The sequence below is a fragment of the Homo sapiens genome, chromosome 9 (genome assembly GCF_000001405.40).
Source record: "Homo sapiens chromosome 9, GRCh38.p14 Primary Assembly".
Taxonomy (NCBI): domain Eukaryota; kingdom Metazoa; phylum Chordata; class Mammalia; order Primates; family Hominidae; genus Homo; species Homo sapiens.
Window position 1 is genome coordinate 2,667,938 of NC_000009.12, and position 27,036 is coordinate 2,694,973.

General features: G+C 39.6%; 1 long non-coding RNA gene across 1 annotated transcript in view, besides 1 other annotated feature; it reads right to left on the bottom strand.

Annotated features, from left to right (window-relative positions):
- Positions 1 to 26,524, bottom strand: part of LOC105375957 (uncharacterized) — a 45,278-nt gene extending 18,754 nt beyond the window's left edge. The window contains exon 1 of the long non-coding RNA XR_929436.3: positions 1 to 26,524. This is a non-coding gene — a long non-coding RNA (uncharacterized LOC105375957).
- Positions 9,461 to 9,969: an enhancer, noted in NCBI's record as "NANOG hESC enhancer chr9:2677398-2677906 (GRCh37/hg19 assembly coordinates)". NCBI's record gives its function as "activates a minimal SCP1, AML or CMV promoter by ChIP-STARR-seq in naive H9 embryonic stem cells {active_cell/tissue: H9 hESC(naive)}" and the evidence as "EXISTENCE:reporter gene assay evidence [ECO:0000049][PMID:30033119]".
- Positions 26,525 to 27,036: the final 512 nt, after the last annotated feature.

The following is a 27,036-nucleotide window of genomic DNA, read 5'->3' on the forward strand; positions in this document are numbered from 1 at the left end:
CTTCTGATATGATTGTGAGGCCTCCCCAGCCACGTGGAACTGTAAGTCCATTAAACCTCCTTTTCTTCCCAGTCTCGGGTATGCCTTCATCAGCAGTGTGAAAATGGACTAATACAAGCAACATCTTCGAAAAAACACATAACCAGGGAAAGGAATTACATTGAAATGGTAACAGTCATCTAGGTTACTATACACTGGTGGGGTTATTTTTAAAGTTATCCTATAGCTTGATAATCACACCTGTTACTTAGTTTTTGTGTGTTTAGAATTGATGTGCCAACTAAGTACCTTAATTAAGCATTGCTTGATCCCACAGTCCTCATGGGTTCTTACCCTAGTTATCAGAGAGTTTAAAGTCAACATTTAAGCCTATGATTTATTAAGCATCTACTACAGGCACAAAAGGGTTCTGTGTACTCTGAAACAGATTATTGAGATGAAGTCCCTCTTATGTATAACAGTTTAATGGCAAAGCAAAGCTCAGTGGGTCCCAAATAAACATGCCAGACAGATAGCACACTCTCTGAAAGCTCAGGAGATAGAGATATCTTTGTGGGCTGCTTTGGTGGAGGACAGGAGGAATTATTTTTTGTGTCTATCAGAGTAATTGTTTTTCAAGAAACAAACCCCACTTTAAAAGCCCAATGAAACCAAAAGATCCTCCCAGAAAACATTTAAACTCATAAAATTTTACATTTAATTTCAGGAATTCCTGTATCTCCTGGTGTCTATGTATATGGGGATTCTAAAAAGGTCTATATCAGAAGTTAGAAACCTCTGTTTTATATACATTTAAATAAATTCACATTATCTATGCCTGTTCTCTTTTTTTTTCTAAAATCCCACACGTAAGTTCTCTGAGATACCATCAAAACAGAGTATTAATGGGTGGAAAAAATATCTTATTTAAAAGTAAAACATAGACATTTCTTTATGGAATTGTAACATTTGGAAACTTATCGACAAAATATTCAACTCCAGGAGTGTAATATTGGCTTACGCTATGAATATACCAAGTGTGTATATTTTGAATCTTGCAAACTAGGAATCACTTCATCACCATCTCCGTATTGTCCCTCTGGAGAGGCAGTATGCCATATGTAGAAGCATGAAAGCCAGAGTTAAGAGATTTGAGTTCTGATCTTAGTTTTGCCACTTACTTATTATAGTCGTGGTCAATTATCTTCCATCTCCATGCCTCCATTTCTGCATCCGTACAATGAGTGAATGATAAAATTTGACTTAGTTGCTTCACACAGTTGTTATGGGGACCAGACGGGATGACAGATGTATACGATCCAAATGTGAGCTTTTTTGTTTTGTTTTGTTTTTAAGGCACTTGAATAAAAGACATTTGCCATGGGTGCATTTTGCAGGTTCAATTTCCAGAAAGAAATTTTATTGAGGTTTGACATCACAGACTTTACAATGAAAATCACTGTGCAGAATGTTCTGTGTTTAAAATACCACCACCCCTGGTGACAATGCCAAGTCATTCAAACTAATGCCAAGTGAAAGCCATTCCCTAACAGTGTTTTTTCCCAACAACACTTTATTATATTAGAAATGTGCTTAGGCATTGTTTGGGTTGCAGTTCAGAAGGAAATGCTGAAAGATGCTTTCATAAAACTTATATTTGGGGAAATATTTTCATAAGCTGAAAAGGGCTTATAAAATATGATGGTTTCATATTATTATTTTTAGTTTAACTTACTAAACTTTTAAGTTGGCACTGGCCTGGCCTATCCTACCCTGAGAGCCAATGCAATAAAGTGAAACTCATTGAGATTGGCCATTGCAATCTGATAAATCGAATTTCAATATTGTTTAATAAAAATAATAAACAGTGTGGAATGAAATATGTTGGATATCATGCCCAGAACAGGAGACCATGTTTATTCAAAAGGACAAATCTCTGGTATCGAAGGAAGGTGGCAATATTACAGAGTTGTATTATGAATAGGTCCTTCAGATTTGTTTTGGTTTTTTTTTGAGATGGAGTCTTGCTCTGTCGCCCAGGCTGGAGTCAGTGGCACGATCTCAGCTCACTGCAACCTCCGTCTCCTGGGTTCAAGCAATTCTCCTGCCTCAGCCTCCTGAGTAGCTGGGACTACAGGTGCATGCCACCACATCTGGCTAATTTTTTTGTATTTTTATTAGAGATGGGGTTTCACCATACTGGTCAGGCTGGTCTTGAACTCCTGGCCTAGTGATCCACCTGCCTCAGCCTCCCAAAGTGCTGGGATTACAGTCGTGAGCCACCACGCCTGGCCCCAGTTTTCTTTCATGACTCTTTAAACCTAGAAAGAAAAGAAAATCTAAAATCGTCTTTAAAAAATTCTAGTCACTTAAAAATGCTGCAGTCTAACTCTGGTCTTGGCACTTCATAAAGTAAGTGTCAAGCCAGGTTGGATTTATTTAGCTGAATTAGAAACCTGAGGGAGCAGAATTAATTTTTCAGTGACAATGGTTGCAGCCCACTCATTGCCTCCCCATATAGAAAAATCTTTCAGACTATTCACAGTTTTCATCAAATGGGGTCACTTTCCCTTCTATGTAGGAAATTCCTTCCAGCCTGTGAAAGATTAAACAAAAGCTTTTTCTGCAGGAACTTTGGAAATTAGAATATAATGTTTTCCTGGGTGTTTATATTGCCCTCGCTGCCAACATATTTCCTGCCCATGGCTGCCAGGTTCATCTCTCCAAAACCCACTTTGCAAACATCATCTTTTTACCATAGAAACTATCTCAGGTTTCTGAGCAAAGTCGAAGCTCTTGAGCCTGGCATTCAAGGCCTTCCAAATGGCTTTGCTGGTAAATTCGACCAAATATTTAAGAAAGAAATAATACCACTATGACCTAATCTCTCCAGAAAATTGAAGAGAATAGAATCTTTCCCAACTCATTTTAAGAGATCAACGTTATGCTGATACCAAAACCAGATGAAGACATTACAAGAAAATAGATCAATATTCCTCATGAGCACAGACGAAAAAATTCTTAACAAAATATTATATTAGCAAATGAAATCCAGCAACACAGAAAATGGATAATACAACATGACCATATGGGGTTTATCTTAAGGATGCAGGGCTAGTGTAACAACTGAAACCCAATTAATGTAATTTGTGATATTAATAGATTACAAAAGAAACCAAGTGATCATCTCAGTAGGTACAGAAATAGCATTTGACAAAATACAGCATCTATTCCTAATAAAAAAATCTCAGCAAACTAGAAATCGAAGGGTACCTCCTCAACCTCACAAAAAGCGTTTACAAAATGTTTATAGCTAACATCACACTTAATAGCAGAAGACTGACTGACTGCTCTCACCCTAAGATCAGGAATAAGGCAAAGGTCTTTTCTTTCACCACTTCAATTCACTATTGTATTAGGGATTCTAGTCAATTCAATAATACAAGAAAAAAGAAATAAAATGCATCCAGATTGAAAGGAAGAAGTAAACTTTCTTTATTCACAAATGACATTATCAACTGTCCCGATAATGTTACAAAATCTATAAAAAAAGGTCCTAAACTTAATATGTGTTTAGCAGTTGCAGGATATAAATGCAGTGCACAAATATCAATTGTCTTTCTATAAACTAACAACAATCAGAACATGAAACTTAACAATACATTTGACATCATCAAAAATATAAAAACTTTAGGTATAAAGCTGACAAAAGACCTGAAGACCTGAACTTAAGAATGTAGCCTATTTTGATAAATGCTACATATGAATTGTAAGAGAATATGAACTCTGCTGTTGTTGGGTGGAGTGTTCTGCAAATGTCAATTAGGTCAAATTAGTTGATAGTGCTGTTCAAATTGTATATATTCTCACAGATTTTCTGTTTTTTCAGTTATTGAGAAAGGTATTGAAATCTCTAACTATAAATATGCATTGTCTATTGATTCTTGCAGTTCCATCAGTTTTTGTCCACATATTTAACACTCTACTCAGAAAAGTCCTGTTCTGTTTGGAGACTTCTCAAAGAATTTAAAATAGAATTACCGTTTGACCCAGCAATTCCATTTACCCACAGAAATATAAGTCGTTCTACCCTGAAGACACATGCACACCTATGTTCACTGCAGCACTATTCACAATAGCAAAGACGTGGAATCAACCCAGGTGGCCACCAAAAGTGGACTGGATAAAGAAAATGCAGTATGTATACACTAAAGAATACTACGCAACTATAAAAAAAATTGAGATCATAGTCTTTGCAGCAACGTGGATGGAGCCGGAGGCCACAATCCTAAGCAAATTAACGCAGGAACAGAAAACCAAATGCCGCATATTCTCACTTATATGTGGGAGTTAAACATTGAGTACACATGAACACAAAGAAGGGAACAATAGACGTCGGGGCCTAACTGAGGGTGAAGGATGGGAGAAGGGTGAGGACTGAAAAACAACCTATCGGATATTATTCTGCTTACCTGAGTGTCAAAATTATCTGTATACCAAATCCCTGCAACACACAATTTCCCCGTGTAACAAACCTGCACAGGTACCCCTTGAACGTAAAATAAAAGTTGGAAAGAAAAAAAAAAAAGAAAAATCCTGGTCCGTGCCTGACAATAATAGCTTGTGTGAAAGCGCATGCGCACACTCACACACACGCATGTGAGGGCACCTATCAATCGTTGTCACTTATAAATGCAAATGAAAATATTCCAAATAAAATGCTAGCAAATTAAATTCAAAGATACCATAAAGGGCATAATCCACCATAACCAAGTCATAATTATTGTGCTATGCTAGAAAAATTTAATATTAAGAAATCTAATATGGCACATCAATGGATCAAATAAGACAAACCTTATAATATAAAACGTCCAAAAGGCATTCTGTAAAATGGAATAAGCAATTTTAAATAAAAGCTCTCTGAAAACCAGGATTACAAAGACACTTCTTTAAAATGATAAAAATATACAGCACTTTTAAATCAATAGCCACTTTCATACTTAATGATAAAATACACCAGAAGCATTTCTTCTGAGAGCCTCAATAAAACAAAAACGCTGGGTTTGGCTGGGCATGGTGGCTCATGTCTGTAATCCCAGCACTTTGGGAGGCTGAGGCCAGTAGATCACAAGGTCGGGAGATCGAGACCATCCTGGCAAACCAGTGAAATCCCGTCTCTACTAAAAATACAAAAAATTAGCTGGGTGTGGTGGTGGGCACCTGTAGTCCCAGCTACTTGGGAGGCTGAGGCAGGAGAATCGCTTGAACCCGGGAGGCAGAGGTTGCAGTGAGCTGAGATCACACCACTGCACTCCAGCCTGGGTAACAGAGCAAGACTCTGTCTCAAAAAGAAAAAAAAAAATGGTTTTTTTCCCAAAGATATTTGCAACTTGCTCGCTTCCATTCTTCATGTTACATGTCCCCACTGGCCCCAGGGCTCTTGAATTTCCTCAGTTCATGCCAGAGGCAGTTGTTGCAGGTTACTCAATAGGGCTTGGTGTCATAGGGTTTATACCTCAGGGTCATAGGGCTTATACTTCACATCTAATTTGGCCAAATAATTATGGCAAAAGCTTCTGTGAGCCACATAGATTAAATGATGTAGAAAATAAAAAGTCAAAATTATTGGGAAAATAATTTCCTTATAGCTGCATCAAATGGGACAAACTTTTCTTATAACTGTTTGGTCTTATTTTCAGAGTTCTATTTCCTGGCCTGTCTTATTAACACATCCTTTGTCGTACAACTGAAATATCTATAGCAATAGGAATTATACAGTGAGAATATTTTTTGTTTTAATAAAATACTATTATATTATGCATATTTTATAGCCTGCATTTTTTCACTTAGCCATACATTGTGACCATTTTTCTACATAATGTATGTTTGGCTAAATTATTATTGTATAGGTTACATAATATGTCATGATATAGCCCTCCCACCATCTACTTAACCTTGTCCCTATTTATAAGCATTTGATTTTGCCTCAGATTTTTCTAAAGTTGGGTTTTTAAAGCATATTCCCACCTCCTCCACCCACACAGCAAATAGAAAACTCATTAGATTTTCCTCATAACCCAGATTACTCTCTCTCTTATCTTAATAACCAAGTTTACACTCTGCAAGAAATAAACCAGAACTTTGGATGAAAACAGGGTGGAGCACGCTGGGAGTAAACATTGTCTATTTTCAGAGCCCCAGTCTTCTTAACTCCCAGAATATTTCAGCCAGATTTATACGTGCTTCTATGCACACACACGACAGGGAACTAAGGGTTTTGATATGACCAAGGAAAAGGATCTGTAGGTGCCGACGGTCAGAATTCCCTCTAAAAATGGCAAGGTACTGAACAAAACCATGTATAGAGAAAATCACCAGTCAGCAAGCCCTACTCGTGCACATGGTTTTAATCAACATTTTAGTTCCTCACTCTTAAGTACAAACAGCCAAAAGATCACCCAAATTTTTAAAAAGCCTTCCAACATGCAAGACAGACTAAATTGAACAAGAAAAAATAGCTTCAGAAGAATTCATGTCAATGAAGAAAACAGAAGAAAATGTTTAAAAAAATCTCTATAATTCATAGCTTTGAAACATAAAATACTGCGTATATAAGAATCGGATTTTATAAAAAAGTAATATTCCAAAAATAAGGAAAATTTTTGAAAGTTAAAAATAGTATAACCAAAAATAAACCAGTCAGCAAAATAATTCTAAAATAAAATGGATAAAAAAAATTCCAAAAAGTAGAACAGAAGTCAAAGAAAGAGAAAATAAGAGACAAAATACGTGATAACTAGAGGATCAGTCTAGGAGGCCCAATACTCGAAGACAAAGTTCCAGGAAGAGTTTGGAGAAAATGAGATAAAGAATATCATTGAAGTAATAACATGAGAATTTACTGGAAGAGAAAAAAAATGAGTTTTCAGACTGAAAGGACCTCTCCCGCCACCTGACTGTCCAGCACAATAAAACACATATACCCCAAGATACATCACCACAACATTTCAGACAACTGAGAACAAAGTGGAGATCATAAATATTTCCAGAAATAAAAAACAGGCCACAAATAGATCAGACAACCATATGTCACTAGACTTCTCAACAACACCAGACACCAGAAGAAAATGGAATGGCTTTAATATGCTGAAGAAAGATTAGTTTAACCTAGAATTCTATATCCAATCAAACTATTAATCAAATGAGAGAGGGGTGAAATAAACACATTTTCAGCCATGCATCCTCTCAGAAAGATTTACCAAACCAAGTTAGGTGATTATTTTCAAGAAAATAAAAAGTAATTGTACAAGAAAAATTAAAATACACACGATTCGTATTTACATTGTTATGAAAAACAAGAATAAGATTTACATTGTTATAAAAATATAAATACAACTATTAATAATAGTAATCTACAACTCGATTACTATAATCAAACATTGTGTAATAGAAGGATAGAGAAGAAGAACATGGAGGCAGAGCTGTGAGGAGTTTTAAGTGAGTAAAATTCTCACGTTTGATAGTAACAAGTCAATTGATAATCTCTAACTCAATAAAAAATAAGATTTAGTAGTAAAATTTTATCATTTAGAAAATGAAGTGAAATACTAGCATTAAGGGTAGTAAAAGTTAACAGTACTTGTCTCTGGGTAGCTGGGATCAAGGGTGGGAAAGAGGTGAGAGAAGGGACCACAGGTTTTCATTATAATCATTGTAGAACTTTTTAATTTTTAAAACAGTGCCTACATTTTGTTTCTTAAATAACTTCAAAAAGAGCATGAAGCAAGGGCTTTGATGGCATGAACACATAGGGTTGAGGAAGTTCCTTTATGCTTTGGTGTAAGGAAGATAAAATGATATTCCAAGAAACAGGGTGACCTCTGAATTCCACGATGCATTGAGGAACGTGTAGGCTGTGCCAGCAATGCCAGAGGCACATAGAAAGGAATATGCACTCTAGTTTAAATAACTACACAGAAAGTTTTTAAAACATTCACCTGGATCAGAAACTGCTTTCTCTGCCAGAACTCTTGCCTGAGTCCAGCCAGGGAATACCATCTGTCAGATATCTAGGCCTGTGGTATGGCTTTGCTGTGTCCCCACCCAAGACTCATCTTGAATTGTAGCTCCCATAATTCCCACATGTTGTGGGAGGGACCTGGTGGGAGGTAATTGAATCATAGGGGCAGGTCTTTCCTGTGTTGTTCTTCTGATAGTGAATAAATCTCACGACATCTGATGGTTTTATAAAGGGGAGTTCCCCTGCACACTCTCTCTTTGCCTGCCAGCATGTGAGATGTAACTTTACTCCTCATTCATCTTCCACCATGATTCTGAGGCCTTCCCAGCCATGTGGAATTGTGAGTCCATTAAACCTCTTTTCTTTATAAATTACTCAGGCTCCAGTATGTCTTTATTAGTACCATGAGAACAGACTAATACAACCTGGATCAGAGAACCAAATTTTGCAAAATGGAAGAAAAAATAATTGAAGAGATGGAAGAGGATGCAGGGAAGACATAGGCATAGGGAAAAGAGTGGGAGAGATCATGAATTGATCATTTATTGCTTGCCTGCCATGTTTCAGGTCACTGTACTTAAGCATACTACCTCCACGATAACGTATATTCTCACATCACAATAATTAGGCATTTCTATTATCTCCATTTTACCAACAAGAAAGCTGGAATTCTGAGGAGTGAACTTGCCTGACCAAAGCCACACCATTAACAAACGGTGGGGCTTGGATTTGAGCCAAGTCTGACAGATGCCAAAGTCTCCTGTGCCATGACAGAGAAAAAGAAACCCAAACAAACAAGTTTCCCGTGCTTCCTGGGCATATTAAAATGTCAGGTTTGTTGTGTGTTTGCTTTTTAAAATTGTAGGAAAATATGCTTAACATAAAATTGACCATTTTAACCATTTCAGTGTATACAATTCAGCAGCACTAAGTACATTCACAATATTTGCAATTGTCATTACTATTTCCAGAACTTATTTATCATCCCAAACAGAAACTCTGTACATTAAACAATAACAACTCCCTATTCCCCACTTCCCCAGCTTCTGCTAAATTCTATTTTACTTTCTGACTCATTGAATTTGTCTAGTCTACTTACCTAATATAAGTGGAATTGTATAATATTTATCCTTTTGTGCCCTGCTTTTGTGTTTGGCTTAATTTGCATGTGGCTTGTTAAGTATAATGTTTTCAAGATTCATCCTTGTAACATGCATCAGAATGTCATTCCTTTCAAAGGCTAAATAATATTCCATTGTATGTATGTAATACAGTTTTTTTATCCATGCATCTGTTGATGGACATTTGGGTTATTTTTATTTTTTGGCTATCGTGAATAATGCTGCTATGAACATTGGTGTACAAATAACCATTCAAATACTTGCTTTCAATTCTATAGTATTTATTTTTAAGCCTCTTGTTCTCCTTTGACATTATTCTCTAAAAGTTACACTTTTTCTCAAACTTTTTCCCAAACCCATTCTTCTACCCCCACTCCATGCTTCAAACATCTTCAGCCCATGAGGAAAAAACAGTGGAAAAGTCTACTTTTCCAGTAGCTCCTTGTACTCTCTGGACCTACTTAATTAATGATCAACACACTTACTCCTTTATTTATTCATCTGACAAATATTTTGAGCACTGCTGTTATGCCTGACACTGTTCCTAGAGCATGGATACTTCAATTAACAAAACAAAGATTTCTGCAAAGATCATTAAGTTTACAAATGAAGATCGTTAAGTTTACATTCTACCTGTTGATTTTTCTGACTCAAGTTTATCAGAACATTTTCAAATCACAGGGATGTTTTCACAGGACAGAAGAAAAGGAGTCTTAGTCATTCAAGAATACAAGTTTCAAGTTTGAGTGCACTGATGGAAGAGAAAACATGAACCTTCTGAAAAGATTTGGATTCCTTCAGAAGGATGTGAGTGATTGACCCTTACTTCCCTGTCCTAGAGAAGAGATGAAAGCAGGAAAGCAACAGGAGGAGAAAGAAGCAAGAAGATGAAGCAAGAGTCTTGGTTCCAGCATTAGCATAACTTGCTTTGATAAGTCCCATTTCCAGGAGCAAGATATAAGGTGCCTGTATCCTTTCATCATGATGTTTGAAAGTTGAGATTTCCCAGTGGTTTCACTGGATGACTTAGTAGAATGCAGGCACTACATTTTTGCTGAACTCAAAGTCCACTGAGGATTCTAAAGGAAGTTTTGAGTCTCTAACAAGTTGGAAAAGACTTTTGCAACTTTGCTCCATATAAAGGCACAGCCTCCTACATTTTTTTAAGATTAAAAAAAAAAAAAGAAGTCCTGCCACAGCAGATACACTGCTGAATCTGCAAACGATTTTATAAAGAGCCATGTCTTTCTTGGCTCTGAAGCCACTTAAAAAGCATCAATGCCATTGCAAACTGGAGCATTAGATTTTCCCCAAAAGGCATCGATTTGGGGCCAGTAACTGACATCAACTCAAAAGCGAATCTTGGATGACTACAGACCCAGCTGGCCTGCTGGTAACACAGTGCAGGGGTTGCTTGACATATTTAGGGCACCAGTTAGAATTTGGCGAGAACCAAACCAGTATACTTTCATTTTTTCCAGGTCAAAATCAAGATTACAAACTGACACTGAAAAGTGATCTTGAAGAAGTGTGCTTCCTTAGTCTGGACAGGAAGAGTCAGAATACAAAGAACTGGTTACATTCAGTGACACATACCAACATTAATCCCTCTACCAAAGCAAACCAGGGCTGCCAGAGTCAGCACATTATGTTCTAATACCCAAACAACTTGACTGGAAATCAACCCCCAGCAAAACAAACGGAAACAGGTTTACCAACATGACACTACCTGAATACATGTATTAGATTTGCTCTTGAGCCCAGGAAGCAGCTGGAACAGGGTTTCCTTGGGTCCCTTTTTTTTTTCTTCTGCCATCTAACATCTCTAAATGTAAATTCTATCTAACCTGATATTTCTGGGACAGTGGTGTTCTTTAGGTTTCCAAGTTAGCATAATGTCCTCAGGCAAGGAAGTTTCAATAAATGATAATTGAAATTAATTTTAAAGCCTGGGTTATCCCCAAGAAAATTTTATAATGAAAATGTTCAACGGACACCTTCCCTTTGGAGGGCCTTAGGACATAAGAAGGAAAAACACAAGCTAAGATATGAAGGAAGGAAGTAGAAAGCTTCCTCAATGAGGTACAAACATGGTATACTGCAAGGTGATCTCAGTTACACTGGAGGAGCCAAGTATGACTTGCTCTTTGGGCCAACCTAGGGTGACTAACCCACGCACACCCTCTGCAACCAGCACCTAATAAATAACAAGAGGCTCCCAGCCTCTGAGCCCTGGTTATGTAGAGGATCCTGAACCCTCTTTCCCTCCTTGCAATCCTTATTCCTAACTTCCTCCTCTGTTCTTGTGTTTACTTGCTGCCTGACCCATGGGTATCATCCTCTATTCCACCCTCACTCACTTTTGGAGGAGCTTTACTCCTTCTATTGGTCCTTTTGGTACCTAAGCTCAGACTCTCCCTGCTTTAGAACCTATAGCCTATTTTTCCCAGGCAAGCCACTGACTTATAGGTGGGTGCCTCTCAGCTCCATGGGGAAACTTAGGCTACACATCCAACGTTCTTCACTCCAGATTATACTATTATAGGTGACCTCCACAGGCACTGACATTAGGATCACTGTGCTAACGTACCACATTAAAGGAAGTAGAGAGCTACATGGGAGAATACATTCTGACCTTGGATTTAGATAACTTGAGTTCCACCCTTAGCTACCTATCTTTTACAGGCTATGTGACCATATTACTTGGTAAATTCAAACTTCACTTCTTAGCACACAAGGTCCTTTACTGTGGCATTCCTGACTTTTTTTTTTTTTTCTTTTTTTTTAAACTGAGTCTCGCTCTGTTGCCAGGCTGGAGTGCAGTGGTGCAATCTTGGCTCACTGCAACCTCCACCTCCCGGTTTCAAGTGATTCTCCTGCCTCAGCCTCCCAAGTAGCTGGGACTACAGGCGCACGCCACCACACCCAGCTAATTTTTGTATTTTTAGTAGAGACGGGGTTTCACCATGTTGGCCAGGATGGTCTCAATCTTTTGACCTCATGATCCACCCACCTCAGCCTCCCAAAATGCTGGCATTACAGGCATAAGCCACCGTGCCCAGCCCTGACAATTTTTTTTATTTCACCACCACCTATCACTGCCTCCATCACTTCATTCAATTCAGCCACACAGCCCCAGTGATAATTGCTCATGCTCTGGTAAACCCTAGTAGCTTTTGTGGATGTTTTTTCTTCAGCCTTAACTGCACTTCCCCTCACTTCTCCTTGTCCTACTCGTCCTTTGAAACACATCTCAGATGCCATCAGTAGAAAACCTTCTCCATCACTATGCCATCATCATCATCACTATCTCTCGCCTCCTCCTCTGGGTTTCTTTTCTGGAATCATTGATGTACACATCTGCTTTCCCCAATGGACTGTAAACTCTTCAGAGTCAGGCACTGTGCTGTATTTTTTTTTTTCTTTTTTTTAGACAGAGTCCCATTCTGTCACCCAGGCTGGAGTACAGTGGAGCAATCTCAGCTCACTGCAAACTCCACCTCCTGGGTTCAAGCAGTTCTCATATCTCAGCCTCCTGAGTAGATGGGATTACAAGCATGAGCCAAAACACATGGCTAATTTTTGTATTTTTTAATAGAGACGAGGTTTTACCATGCTGCCCATGCTGGTCTCAAATTCCTGGCCTCAAGTGATCCTCCTGCCTCAGCCTCCCAAAGTGCTGGGATTACAGGCTTGAGCCACTGTGTCCAGCCCATATTTGATTTTAACGTCCTGTCCTGAAATATGCCTGGAACAGAGCAGTACTCAATAAATGTCTGTAGAATGAGTAAGTGCTCACCTGCATCCCATGCCTGCTCTTAATCCTCACAAGGTCTGTATTAGTATCTCAGTTGGCAAATGAAGAAACTAAGGCTTATCTTGTACTGGCTAATTATGTGATTTCAGTCACACAATTAAAGAATGACAGAGATGATTTGTGAACTCAGGCTGGCTTGACCCTAAACCCTGTTCTCTTTTCACTACATCAGCCTTCTTCTACTGCATGGAACCAAGCTCAATATTGAATCTGAAGTATGCGATTAACCTCATGTGGACTTATCCTTCCTATGAAGACTTCTAGACCTTAACAGAATAGAGTACGCCATGTATCACTACCTCCAACCAGTAGCTTTACCATTGAGATAGGCCTTCTATTTGTGAAAAGATATAAGCCCACTTTTGTACTCTGGTAATATAAAATTTCCATCCCATCAAACCTATAAGAAAGAGAGAGGAAGGGCAAATGAGTGGGGAAGAAAACACAACAGGGAGAAAAGAAAGAAAGGATTTACTTATTTAAGATCAAGAAAGTTAAGTCAGTCCATGACTAAGAATGTCATGAGCACATAACTCAATGGAAAGCCTCCTTCGCTGCAACTGGTAGAACTTGTCAATCAAGGTTCCAAAGACCCTTCCTTTCAATACAATCACCCAGTTGCTCTGTTTTTCTTTTCTTTTTTTGTTGAGACAGAGTTTCTCTCTGTCGCCCAGGCTAGAGTGCGGTGGCTCCATCTCGGCTCACTGCAAGCTCCGCCTCCCAGGTTCACGCCATTCTCCTGCCTCAGCCTCCCCAGTAGCTGGGACTACAGGTGCCCACCACTGCGCCTGGCTAATTTTTTGTATTTTTAGTAGAAACGGGGTTTCACCGTGTTAGCCAGGATGGTCTCGATCTCCTGACCTCGTGATCCACCCACCTCGGCCTCCCAAAGTGCTGGGATTAGAGGCTTGAGCCACTGTGCCCAGCCTCTGTTTTTCTATAACACCTTCCTTTGTGTGGCTTTGGACGTCTATTCTTAGAGTTCTATGGTGCCTTCCATAAGCAAAGATTGCTTTAAAATAAAAGCATCTGAGCAGAGTTTTGGACACCTGTCACCAGAATCTTGGGAAAATTCCATGTAACTAAGAATTAAGTTTGCAGTGTCTTTTAGATGAGTGCTTACCATGATCCACTGCCAAAGTCCAAAATGTGTGTGTGTTTATGTGTGTTTGGGATTGAAATAGAGAGAGATACTGTTTCATACATCTCATCTCTGTCTCACCACAGTATTATCCAGCAATTAACAAATATTGACAAGTCTAATAATAGTTTATCCTTGGCTAATCCTATAATTTGCTCCCATAATACTATAGGCTAATCATGTACAGGCCTGAACTTCTAGCAAGCTTGCCTCAGCACCCAGCTTCCTGCTGTGGGTGGGACACTGAGTAAATACTGAATTGACATTTCTCTATTTTGAAGATACTGACACAGATGTGAGTGCTTTGCCTGTATTTTATTGATTTGGTTATTGATGTCAATATCTTGTTCTTGCCGTGGATTTCACAAAAAAAAAATTGGAATAGATTCCTTTTGTCTGCAACCATAAGAAAAATAAAAGTAAAGAAACTTCTTAACCAAATACAGTGTTACTTTGTTTCAAAGTGGAAATATTCTACTACAACTATCCTCATAAATCATTTTTAAAACAGCCTGGATCTGTAATATTTCTTCACGGTTTATAAAATTTGCAATGGGAATGCCTTTTCTTAAAAAAAAAATACTAGACTCTTCCCCATTTTAGTAAAGTTTTTGCTTCTTAAAATTTTCCATAGCAGGAGAAAGGACAAGAAAAATGCCTCCTTATTTTCTACCCATGAAGCTCCATGTTACAGCCAATGAGGGCTCTTTAATTTTCAACAGCCATCTGCATAAATCCTATAAAGGTAATATATTATTAGGATTATTTTGGCTACAAGTAACAAAACAATAAACTTATCTAAACCATAAAGAATTTACCATTTCACTTAACAAAAAATTTTAGAAGACAAGCTGCTTCGGTTTTGTTATCTCAGAACTTCTACATGTCACCATGTCACCATGGACTCAGATCCTTTCCATATTTCTGGCCCATCACTCTGGTCTTAGCTTTCCTCAAACTGACTCTCTAATGATTGCAAGATGGCTGAATAGCTTCAGGAGTGAAGTAGACGTGCTTTCTTTCAAGCAATGGGAAGGCTGCTTTCTTCAAGGGGTCCTATCTTATCAGTGAGGAAACTTTTCTAGAGCCCCAGTAGCACTTTTTCCCTAATTGGCCAGAGTTCCTCATTGGCCAGAATTAAATCATGTGACCATGCTCACAACAATCATAAGCAAGAGAAATCAAGCCACTGTAATTGGTTAGTGCCACCTTTTAGCACTAGGTCTGAAGACCATGTCCTCTGAAACTTATGGCAAGGTGGAGGAGGGTAGACATAATTTAGACAGTAACAGAGTTCTGATACAAAGGAGGAAAGAGGAATGACTTTTGAATCAGACAAGAGTCTACAGCAAATGCAAAAAGGAAAGTTTCTGCAATCTGGTCATTTTTTCATCTATTTAACCAATGTTTCCTGTGCTTTCTATGTGCCATACACTATTTGTTTTTGAGATGGGGTCTCACGCTGTTGCTCAGGCTGGAGTGCAGTGGTGAGATCATGGCTCACTGCAGCCCCAAACTCCTGGGCTCAAGCTATCCAGCCAACTCAGCCTCCTGGGTAGCTGGGACTATAGGTGCATGCCATAATGCCTGGCTTTTTTTAAAAAACGTTTTTTTAGAGATGGGAGTCTCACTATATTGCCCAGGCTGGTCTTGAGCTCCTAGGCTAATGTGATCCTCCCATCTCAACCTCCCATAGTGCTGGGATTATAGGCATGAGCTACCATGCCCAACCTGCCATACTCTATTCTAAGTAGCAGGTGACACCATAACAAGAAAAAGTAGATACTGCCTCTGCTGTCATGGACTTCAGTCTACTGAGCATTTCTTGACTGTCCACATTGTGCATAGTCCCAAAGCTGCAAGGGGGCTTAGAGAGCAAATATCCTAACCCTCTCATTTTTGAGGTAAAGAAACAAGCCTGGAGTGACTAAGTCATTTGCTGGACCTGGATACACCTGATTTTGGATTATCTTCAGTTTGTGCTTTTTGGGGCACCTGTTATCCTGGGTACAAAAGCTTTTTATACATGCAAACAGAAATTGTCACATGCCAACTCAAAATATGACTTATTGTAAAACATTTAATGCTTCAAGAGAACTATTTGCTCTATGAAATGATTCATAAGATTCATTTAGACAGTACCTCTATGCCATTAAAATACATTTTCATTTATAAAAATAGTTCATCATCTTTTTGGACGTAATCTTGGTGAATCACAAAAATTCAAACTGTATACTTGTATCCTACCTCAAACCCCATCACTCTGTCCTCTCCAGATCTGTGCAGTGCAATCAACCCCTGTGGGTAGTAAGAGAAACTCTGTACCCCTGATGGGTCATTTGGAGCCTTCAGAGTCCTACAAGGGATGGGTCCATTGTCTACTCTTTTCCTCTCCATTCTGCACACTGGTAGTAAAGACATGCCTGTACCTACAAATTTTGTCCACATCCTCTAGGATCCCTATTAATAGGTGATTGCTTAAAAGATTCAAAATCACCCAGAGTTCTGCTGTGATCTGGACATTAAAACTGTAACAGAAGTAGCCAAGTCTCTGGTTAGAAACTTTACTTATATTTGTGCTGAATTGTTAGTTCTGATTACACTTTTTTGAATTTATTCTACAAACAGAATCACAGAGGTGCACAAATGCAAATGTACAAGGATATATGTTGCAGCATTACTTACAGAAGGTAGACATCAGAAACAATCTTAGGCCAGCCGCATGGTGGCTCACACCTGTAATCCCAGCACTTTGGGAGGCTGATGCAGGCAGATCACTTGAGGCCAGGAGATGGAGACCAGCCTGGCCAACATGGCAAAACCTTTTCTCTACTAAAATATGAAAAAATTACCCAGGTGTGGTGGCATGTGCCTGTAGTCCCAGCTACTAGGGAGGCCGAGGCAGGGGAATCACTTGAACCCGGGAGCCAGAGGTTGCAGTGAGCTGAGATCGCGCCACTGCACTCCAGCTTGGTGACAGAGCAAGGCTCGGTCTAAAACAAAAAAAAAAAAATTAGCTGGGTGTGGTGGCATGCACCTGTGGTTCCAGCTACTTGAGAGGCTAAGGTGTAAGGATCGCTTGAGCCCTGGATGTGGAGGCTGCAGTGAACTGAGACTGCACAACTGCACTCCAACCTGGGCAACAGTGGAAAACTCTGTCTCAAAAAAGAAAGAGATTTTTTTAAAAAAGAGAAAACAACAACAAAAAAGAAACAGCCTTAATTCTCCTCAATGTATCATGACACATGCCTGAACATCACATGACCAATAAAACAAAAGAAGTAATTCTATGAACCCACGTGGAATGATCACCAAGAAACCTTAATAGAAAAAGCTCAGTGCAGGACAATACATATGACATGGAGCCTGTTTGCAGACAAATTAACAAAGAAACAGAAGAAAAATATAGTATATCTACATGTGCTTGAATATGCAGGGAATGCCTGTAGAACAGCAGTCAGCAAACTGGCCCAAAGGCCAACACCAGCCCACTACCTGTTTTTTTATTTTTAAAATATTTTTAATGGTTGAAAAAAATAAATAGAAGAATAAATTCAAAAGATGAATATAATGGCATGAAATATATGAAATTCAAATGTCAATGTCCATGAAACTTTCCTGGAACACAGACACACTCTTTTTTTTTTTTTTTTAGTGGCAAGTGCCACTCTGCCCTGCTAATTTTTATATTCTTAGTAGAGACAGGGTTTCACCATGTTGGTACAGGCGCCAGCCACCATGTCCGGCCGACACACTCTTCATACTATCCACAAAATAATGGTAGAATTGAATAGTTGTGATGAAAACTTCATGACCCACTAAGGGTAAAACATTTATTACCTGGGGCTTTACAGAAAAAGTTTGTCCACCCCCGGTCGAAAGGAATTTATAGCAACTAACAGCTATAGTTTCCTCTGGGGAAGGGCACTGGCATTTAAAAACAAGAGCAGGAAGAAGACTTAGGTTTTACTTTCTACCCTTTTGTGTGTGTGTGTGTGTGTGTGTGTGTGCGTGTATACATATATGTGCGTATATATACATATATACGCACATATATATACACACATATACATATATATATATATTTTTTTTTTTTTTTTTTTTTTGAGACAGAGTCTCCCTTTGTCTCCCAGGAGTGCAGTGGCGCGATCTTGGCTCACTGCAACCTCTGCTTCCTGGGTTCAAGCGATTCTCCCTTCAGCCTTCCAAGTAGCTGGGATTACAGGTGCACACTGCCAGGCATGGCTAATTTTTGTAATTTTAGTGGAGATGGGTTTTCACCATGTTGTTCACGCTGGTCTCTAACTGCTGACCCCAAGTGATCTGCCCACCTCGGCCTCCCAAAGTGCTAGGATTACAGGTGTGAGCCACCACACCCGGCCTGCATCTTGAAATTAATATGAACATACTTAAAAAGAAAATATAATGAGAAAAATAAAAGAAATACGATTCATACCAAGTATCTGAAAAAACCTTAATGAGAAAAGTGTGTGACTTTATACATAAAAAATAATGAAACTTATAATAAAGAAGGCTTGAATTAATATAGAGCCATATCTTCCATGAGTAAATATTTGAAAGATGCTAATTTACCTCCTTCCCCCACCCCAAGAAAAATTCACAGAATGATTTCTTCTAAAGTTATAGGAAAGAATAACTGAGCTGAAATATTTAAAATAATTCTAGAAAGCATGGCAGCAGGAGAATCTAGAAAGATAGTGCATTGGTGTCTCCTGCCTTTCCTAGACACACAGCTCCTCCTCAGCTTTCTCTCACTCCCCTCAGCCTAGCATCCACTCAGGCAGTGAATTGGCAAAACTGCACACACACGTTACACACATTGCACACCAGTGTGGTGTGTCCACCCTCTGGGCCAAGTGGGAGCCTGGGAGGCAGAGGCAGCAGAAGGTAGTTCCAAAGCAAGGATCTGAAGCAGCCAGCTCCTGGGAATAGCTTGATCTCCTGAGATCGCTGAACCTCTGTAGGGAAAGTTGACAAAGTTGACATTGGCCAGTCTCGCCAGGCCCAGAGAAGCTCATGAGGAGCTGTGAGGGTGGACGGAGAGCTCCCCCTGAGGCTGGGAAAGCCACGGAGAACCTCCCTCCTCCTCCACCCTTCCTCATGCCATGATAGGGAGTTGATGACTTCTCACTGCAGCCCAGCCAGTTCTCAGGGTCAGATCACCACACCTTCTGTTTCTCAGACAATCTCACCCCACCCTCAATCCCAGTTAAGGTATCCTAGCCACTGAACTCCAATGATCAGCAAAGAAAAATAACCAGATGCTAAGGGGGCTCAACAATCAGAGACAGGAAAAATAAACAAGGATTAGCTGGTCCCTCATGAAATAAAACTGACTGGAACAGGCAGAGGGCAATGTACTAAAAAAAAAAAAAAAAAAATGAAAAAGTAAATGATAAAAAGAGTATTTAAAGGGATTCAAATTCAGCACATAACAAAAGACTTCTTAGAAAACATGCATTCATTTTTTTTTAAGTCACTAGATGAATTTAAGGAAACGATGATCACTGATGATATTCAAATTCAATGGCCTGGAAGATCAAAAGGATAAAATAAGTATATCCTCAAGGAAAAAAATACAAAGGTCTAGTAATCTTGAGGAAAAACATAAGCAGACCCAGGAAACCAGCACGAGAAGAAAAAGAAAAGAAAAAAGTGAAGAGATGGAGAAGAAGCAGAAGTTAAAAAAAACCTTCCCTTAAAAAAAAAAACTGAGTTTTTAAATTGAAAATGCCTAATAAACTTCAGGCACTATTATAGAAAGAAGGGAGACATTTATCCATATTTTGGCAAAACTCCCAAACTTCAAGCATGAAGAGAAAACCTTGAAAAGTTCTGGGTTGAAAAGACCCAGAAATTATCTTTTTTAAAGAAAAAGATAATTCTATAAACTTGGAAAATCTTCATTCTAATGCTAGTAAAACAGAAATAAAAGAAAATAATTACATATTTCTATCAGAAATATAAGTAAGAAAATGGTAAATTTATGTGAAATTTTATGCAGCCAATATAAACAGTCATTAAAATGATTCCATAGTTACATGGAAAAGCACAGATGTAAGGAAAAACAACACATTATAAAGTAAAATAGCAAATTATAGAATGTTATGCAGTATAATTAAAACTATTTTTAAATGTTCATGAAAAAGATAGAATAAACAAAGATTACAGTAGTTGGGTTAGAGTCGTTAGAGGAATAAGCAAGATAACTATAGTTGGGTTAGTGTTGCTAATGGAATTACAGGTTTTATTCCCTGTTTCATACTTTCTATAATGTAATATTTTAGTAATAATTTTTTGAGTTAATAGTTTATATAAAGTTCGGCTTTTGTAAACAAAAAAGGAGTTACATTTTTAATAAGTAACACGAAGAAGTCACAGCTATAATCTGTAAACGCTAAAGGGAAGTTCATACATAGCACATGCCCTGCAGCTAAGCCAGATGATCCAAGGCTCCAGGATCTATATGCCAAGAGCAAAATCAAAGTTTAAGCTTGATATTGCTTGGGGGAGGGGTTTGCCCTAAGACTTAGATGATTAAATTATTTATTAGAAGAAATAAGAGAGGTCTCAATTTCCTTATTTGCCTGTATGTTTACACCGATTCAAACCAAAGTTTTAGGGTAAAATCTTGTCTCTCTGAAGGCATTTCCTTCGTTTCATCCATACTTACTCATTAGGCTCCTCAGTCTATAGAGTGGGAGAAAGAAACACAGCCCCTGATAGTTGGGAGCTGGCTGGCACTAGCAGTTAGGTCTTGGTATTGCTACTATGGAAAACAATGCTAGACAAGGCCGTTCTATCACTGAGATAAAGTGAGACAGAAATACATTCACCCCATAGTCATGTCTGAGCACAGACAAAAATAAGGCCACTGTGAAAACTACCAAAATATTTCTCTCAGCTTATGAGAGAGACTATAGCTTCTTAATAATCACAGCTTTAATCACACTTTATTCTTCCTGCCTTCTTGATAAAAATTCAGATACCCAGTCAGAATTGGCCCAATTCCTGACAGCACCGTATCCAGAGCAAACTCATGTTTCCTTGAACTCTCTCCAAAATCATCTACCACCACCTCAGATCCCATCATGTAAACCTCTCACACCTTCTCTCTGTGCCTTCCACCTATGTGTCCCCTTGACATGCAGCCTCCCTCAGTGCAACAGGCCAAGAAAAACCCAACTCAGTTTGACTTCAGGTGCATCCCTGGTGGTCTTTGGCTTTAGAGCACTGTCAAATGGAATCGTATCTTTATTCCTGGTTCTTTTTTTTTTTTTTCTTTTGAGACAGAGTTTCACTCTTTCGCCCAGGCTGGAGTGCAATGGTATGATCTCAGCTCACCACAACCTCCACCCCCCAGGTTCAAGTGGTTCTCCTGCTTCAGCCTCCCAAGTAGCTGGGATTACAGGCATGAACCACCATGCCTAGCTAATTTTTGTATTATTAGTAGAGACAGGGTTTTGCCATGTTGGTCAGGCTGGTCTTGAACTCCTGACCTCAGGGGATCCACCCGCCTCGGCCTCCCAAAGTGCTGGGATTACATGCATGAGCCACCATGGCTGGCCTATTCCTGGCTTTTGTCGCCTTTAACACAAGCAATCAAAACTTACTTGGCAAGCCAGAATTCTATTTGTAGGCTTTTGCCATTGCTAAATTCATTGCTCATTGTTATCCAGTACTGATCGATGCTCATTTAAAAGAAGCAATATGATGAACTGCCTGCAGCATACGTAATCCCTTTCTTCCTCTAAGACCTTGAAAATCTAAGGCCTTGGATTAACTGAGGACTTACTGTAGCCTAACTGAATTAAACTTTGGTATAATGCTGTGACAGCATTCAAAAAACCTCATCACTTGGCCACTGTGAAGATGCTGAAAATGCCATTCTTACATAAAGCAGTTTTAGAACTCTCAGGAGAAATATACTTCTTTCGATAATATCAGGAACAGTTTTACTTCTGAGCAATCAGTTTGTTTCCATTTTATATACAGTGTGAATTGTGTAACTGTAAAGTTTCCATTTTTAAGTTGGTTTCTTGAAAAGTGAGCCAAATCTGTAGCAAGATGAGCGTGCTCTCCGATGTTTGCTTCATTCCTGGCTCCCTTTAATTTATCTCTGACCTTGTTTTCCTTTTTCACCATTGCCAAATGTATGTTATCTTGCTTCATTTTATGTACCTGTGTAAGCCTAAATATACCTTTTAAAAAAAATTGGAAAGGCTGTGAAGAAAGACAATTCAAGCCTGAAATGGTGTCATACCAATTACAAAGCAGGGTACCTGTCTAGCAGAAGGTGAGAACAGTGGAGGAGCAATTGAAATCTGGGCTTTGGGGGCTGGGTGGAGAAGGGACCACATCAGGACACTGGAGGAGTGGAACTTAGCAATGTATACGGGAGGTGCAGTGAGCAAGACAGGAAGGAACCTTGTCTGATGGTCCTGTAAAGTTCATGCCAGAGAGATAAGCCTTGGAATGCAGAAGAGGAGAGGAAGATTGGAGAGAACCTAGAAAACAAGGAGCAGGAGTCTAGGCTTGATGTAGATCACATCTGTCCTTTCTGTGTGTCTAACAAACACAATTGCCTATGTCCCCACATTCAGGAGTCAGCAATGCAGGCGGCAGAAAGGATACCGTATTAGTATAATACGGGGCTGTTATAACCAAGTACCACAGACTGAGTGGCTTACACAGCAGAAATGTATTTCTTCACAGTTCTGCAGGCTAGAAATCCAGAATCAAGGTATCAGCAGAGTTTATTTCTTTTCAGGTCTCTCTCCTTTGTTTGTAGATTGCCACCTTCTCCCTATGTTTTCATATGTTCTTCCTTCTCTGTGTGTCTGTATCCTAATCTCTTCTTATAAGGATACCAGTCATAGATTGGATTTGGGTTCACCCAAATGACCTCATTTACCTTAATGACTTCTTTAAAGACTATCTCTCCAAATATAGCCACATTCTGAGGGATTAGGGATTACGACTTCAGCACATGAATTTTGAAGGTACACAGTTCATCCCATGACAGGGACCTGTAGTAGTTTCTGGAGAGGGCACAAAGCAGATGGCAGCTAATATCCAACGAGAGTCCACATGGAAAATGCAATTTGTTTCTGTGAGATGCAGCACCTCCTGATGGAAGGAAGTTGGGAAAAATGAGCATTTTGAAGACGCACTTTCCACTTACCTTGGCACCTGAAAATCAACTAGGGCTCATCTTTTCCAAATACCTCTAATCAACGGCAGCAAGGGAGAAGGGTGAACTTTGGGCATAATGAAGATGACAAAAGAATTTTACTGACAATGACTATGATGAAAACTGTGAACAATTTATGATTTTATCCTCAGTACAATGAGTGATAAAGGACAGGCACACAGTGACTCACAATAGCTATGTAATTCCATCATCACTAAGGCAGAGGTAAGAACACACACAGTGGGACTGGGAATAGTCTTCTGACCTTACCTTCACTCTCTTCCATAGGAGCCACATTTTCTGGCTGACATGTCCAAATCTCTCCTCTCTGTTCTAGTTACTTAACAGAAGAAGTTCATAGACTTTGCTAACATACCATCTCAATATCTTTAACTGGGAATGCATCAGTTGAATTCTGTAAAAGCAGGCTTTGCTTACTCTCAATATTCCCTGTTTAAAAAAAAAAGTTGCTGGCTGCTTCTGACATGTTCCCAGTTAAACTCATGCTATCCTGTATGCCGCTGAGCCTCTCTTCCTCTCTAACCTGTTTCAGATTGGTTTCAGCAGCTGTATGTGCTTCATAGAAACAGAATTCTCTCCAAGGAAAAAAAACATCATTTCCAGTAAAATCACCAAACTCCAGCCTGCTATGTGAATGGAAGGAAATGTTACATTCTTTATAACAGGATGAATTACTTCCTGTTGTAAGTCCAGTGAAAAACGAATCATTGGTTAGGAAGAAACATAGGGCCCATGACATTTTCAGTGCTACCTATTATCTTCTTTCCAATAATAACTCCTGATGTTATAGTCACTTCAACATTGAGTTTGCTATATTATCAAGTAAATTCCCCTCTTGCCTTTACTGCAATCCTTTCAAGTTGACTTTTGCTTTTCTGTGCTACCCCATCCATGCAATGTTTCATGATTGGCTGCTATCCCTGAAGGTTATACTCATTCCAAGTTCAGTTGACTGAGGTTGCCCCAATTATTATTCTAAATGGATCTCTTTTTTTCATAAGATAAAAACATTATTTGAATAAAAGTGGATGTCAGATCCAATTTGAGAAGGCTTAAGCTTGAGAAGGAGAAAATAATTGGAAACTATTGAGTAAAAGGTTGAAAGTAAGAAAATTCTGGTTGTTGCATTCAAGGCAGATGAGTTTAGGAAAGGACTGAGGAGAGGAGGATGGGTTGGGAGGCATTCAGGGCAACCCAATCCTGAGGTGACACTTCAAGGGCTTGAATTCCCCAAAGCTATGAGAAATGAAGGACCCTAGAAACAAGGAATCTTAGAGAGTGGCCACAGTAAAAGGAGAAAAGAAAATAGGTCAGCCAAAAGGACAAGACAAGCGCCACTGGGAAAGACGGCATCACCAAAGTTTTGAGGCACAAAACTTTTAAGACCTTATAGTCCAAACTGCTTTAATGTGATTTAATTTCGTTTATTTATTTTTGAGATGGAGTCTCACTCTATCACTCAGGCTGCAGTGCAGTGGTGCAATCTCAGCTCACTGCAACCTCTGCCTCCCAGGTACAAGCGATTCTCCTGCCTCAGCCTCCCAAGTAGCTGGGATTACAAGTGTGACTCATCACTCCCAGCTAATTTTTGTATTTTTAGTAGACATGGGGTTTCACCATGTTGGCCAGGCTGGCCTCAAACTCCTGACCTCAAGTGATTTGCCCTCCTCAGCCTCCTAAAGTGCTGGGATTACAGGCATGAGCCACCACACCTAGCCCCAAACTGCTTTTATTTTAAATGCGAATTCATGCTTCAGAGTTGAATTAAATGTTACAAAATCTATGGTCCCAAACTCCACACCCCTCTGCTAGGAGGGACACCGGAATACACCAGCAAGGTCATGGAGGATAAGATAGTCTCCACAGAAACTATTTGCCTCCAAATATCTTTCTTTGAACAACCCTGTAACCCGATTAGCTCTCTAGCCTATCCCCATTTTGATACTGATGGGGTGAACAGCTGTGATTTATGTTGTCACTGAAACTGTTCAGCATCACCACCTGTCTCCCTCCACTGAGTTGGTGGCACTGATGTAGTGACACTGCCCTCCTTGGTGGGAACAAACAACTGCCAAAAGTCTGAAGAAATAAGTCCATAACTTTGCCCATCCAGAGGAGAATAGGTAAAGCCAGGACACATCCTCAAGTATTTTCCCCCGATATTCTCCCCTCATCCCTTACTAACAAATAAATATCTGGCTTCTGGGTTGACTTTATTTTTTAGAGCCCACTATGTAAGGTCAGATTGGGCAGTGAGTGTTGAAAGATGAAAGCAGGCTGGTGAGCAGGCCGACTGAGGAAGCCCACACGGCCTGCCTTAAATTCTAGTCCCACCACTTTCCAGCTGCGCCTCGGGCCATTATTTAACTTCTCTGAGATTGAGTTTCCTCATCTGTACACACACACACACACACACACACACACACACACACAAAACAAAAAGCCAAGATGATAATGCTTCCTTTGCAAGACGTAAAGAAGAAAAATATATAATTTTGACAACATAGGAAATGCTTTAGAAACAGCAGCTTCTACTGCCATTAAGAGAAATCGTATTTCTTGACCGTTTTCTTTGTGCCAGGCAATGGCCGAGCACTGTTGACATAAATTTCCTCATTTAATGCCCAGATCTGCTTTATGCAATAGATACTATTAACCTGGTTCAGACAGGTACAGCTATTAGACCAAAATTAATTGGCTCATATGGGCTGGCCTCAGCTGTCACCCCTAGACCTGTTTTTCTCCAAGGTTTCTTCTAGCAGATGACAAGTGTGTCCATCTTTCAAAGACCCAGGCTGGGACACTTCTCAAGGAACACTGTGATTTCCCTAGACTTGTATGACTTTGCTGTGAACTTGCTGGGTCGTGTAAAGTTGTTACTTTGGAGATAGTTTGGTTGCTACACTTATTCAGCTGCACCTCAAAGGGAACTGGATGTGTGTTTACCTCAGGTACAGTTATCCTCGCTCTCTGACAAGTGAAATGCTACTTTCAAGTTGTTTTGTTGAGAACTCTGAGAGCTCTTTACCCTCGGATCAAGGCAGAATGGGTACCAATATTTTAAGCTACACATTGGTCCATAGATAGATAGGTACATAGATAATTAGTCAGGCTTGTCCAGATAAAAAGGATCAATTGTGCGTGCGTGTGTGTGTGTGTGTGTGTGTGTGTGTGTGTCTCTGTTGCTAGTTAAGATTTTTCTTTTTGAAGGCTGGGCGCTGTGGCTTATGCCTGTAATTCTAACACTTTGGGAGGCCGAGGCGGGCGGATCACTTGGGCTCAGGAGTTTGAGACCAGCCTGGGCAACATGGTGAAACCCCATCTGTACCAAAAACACAAAAATTATCTGGGCATGGTGGTGTATGCCTGTGGTCCGAGCTACTTGGGAGGCTGAGGTGAGGTGGAAGGATCACTTGAGCCTGGGAGGCAGAGGTTGCAGTGAGCCGAGACACTCCAGCCTGGGCGACAGAGTGAAACCCCATCTAAAAAAAAAAAAAAGAAGATTTTTCTTTTTCAGCACCAGACTTATAACCTACACTTTGGGATCCTTCCACAAATCAGAAGGTTCCCTGGCCCCTCATAACTTCTTTGCACCACTATTTTTTTTTTTTTTTTTTTTGAGACGGAGTCTGGCTCTGTCGCCCAGGCTGGAGGGCAGTGGCATGATCTTGGCTCACTGCAAGCTCTGCCTCCCGGGTTCACGCCATTCTCCTGCCTCAGCCT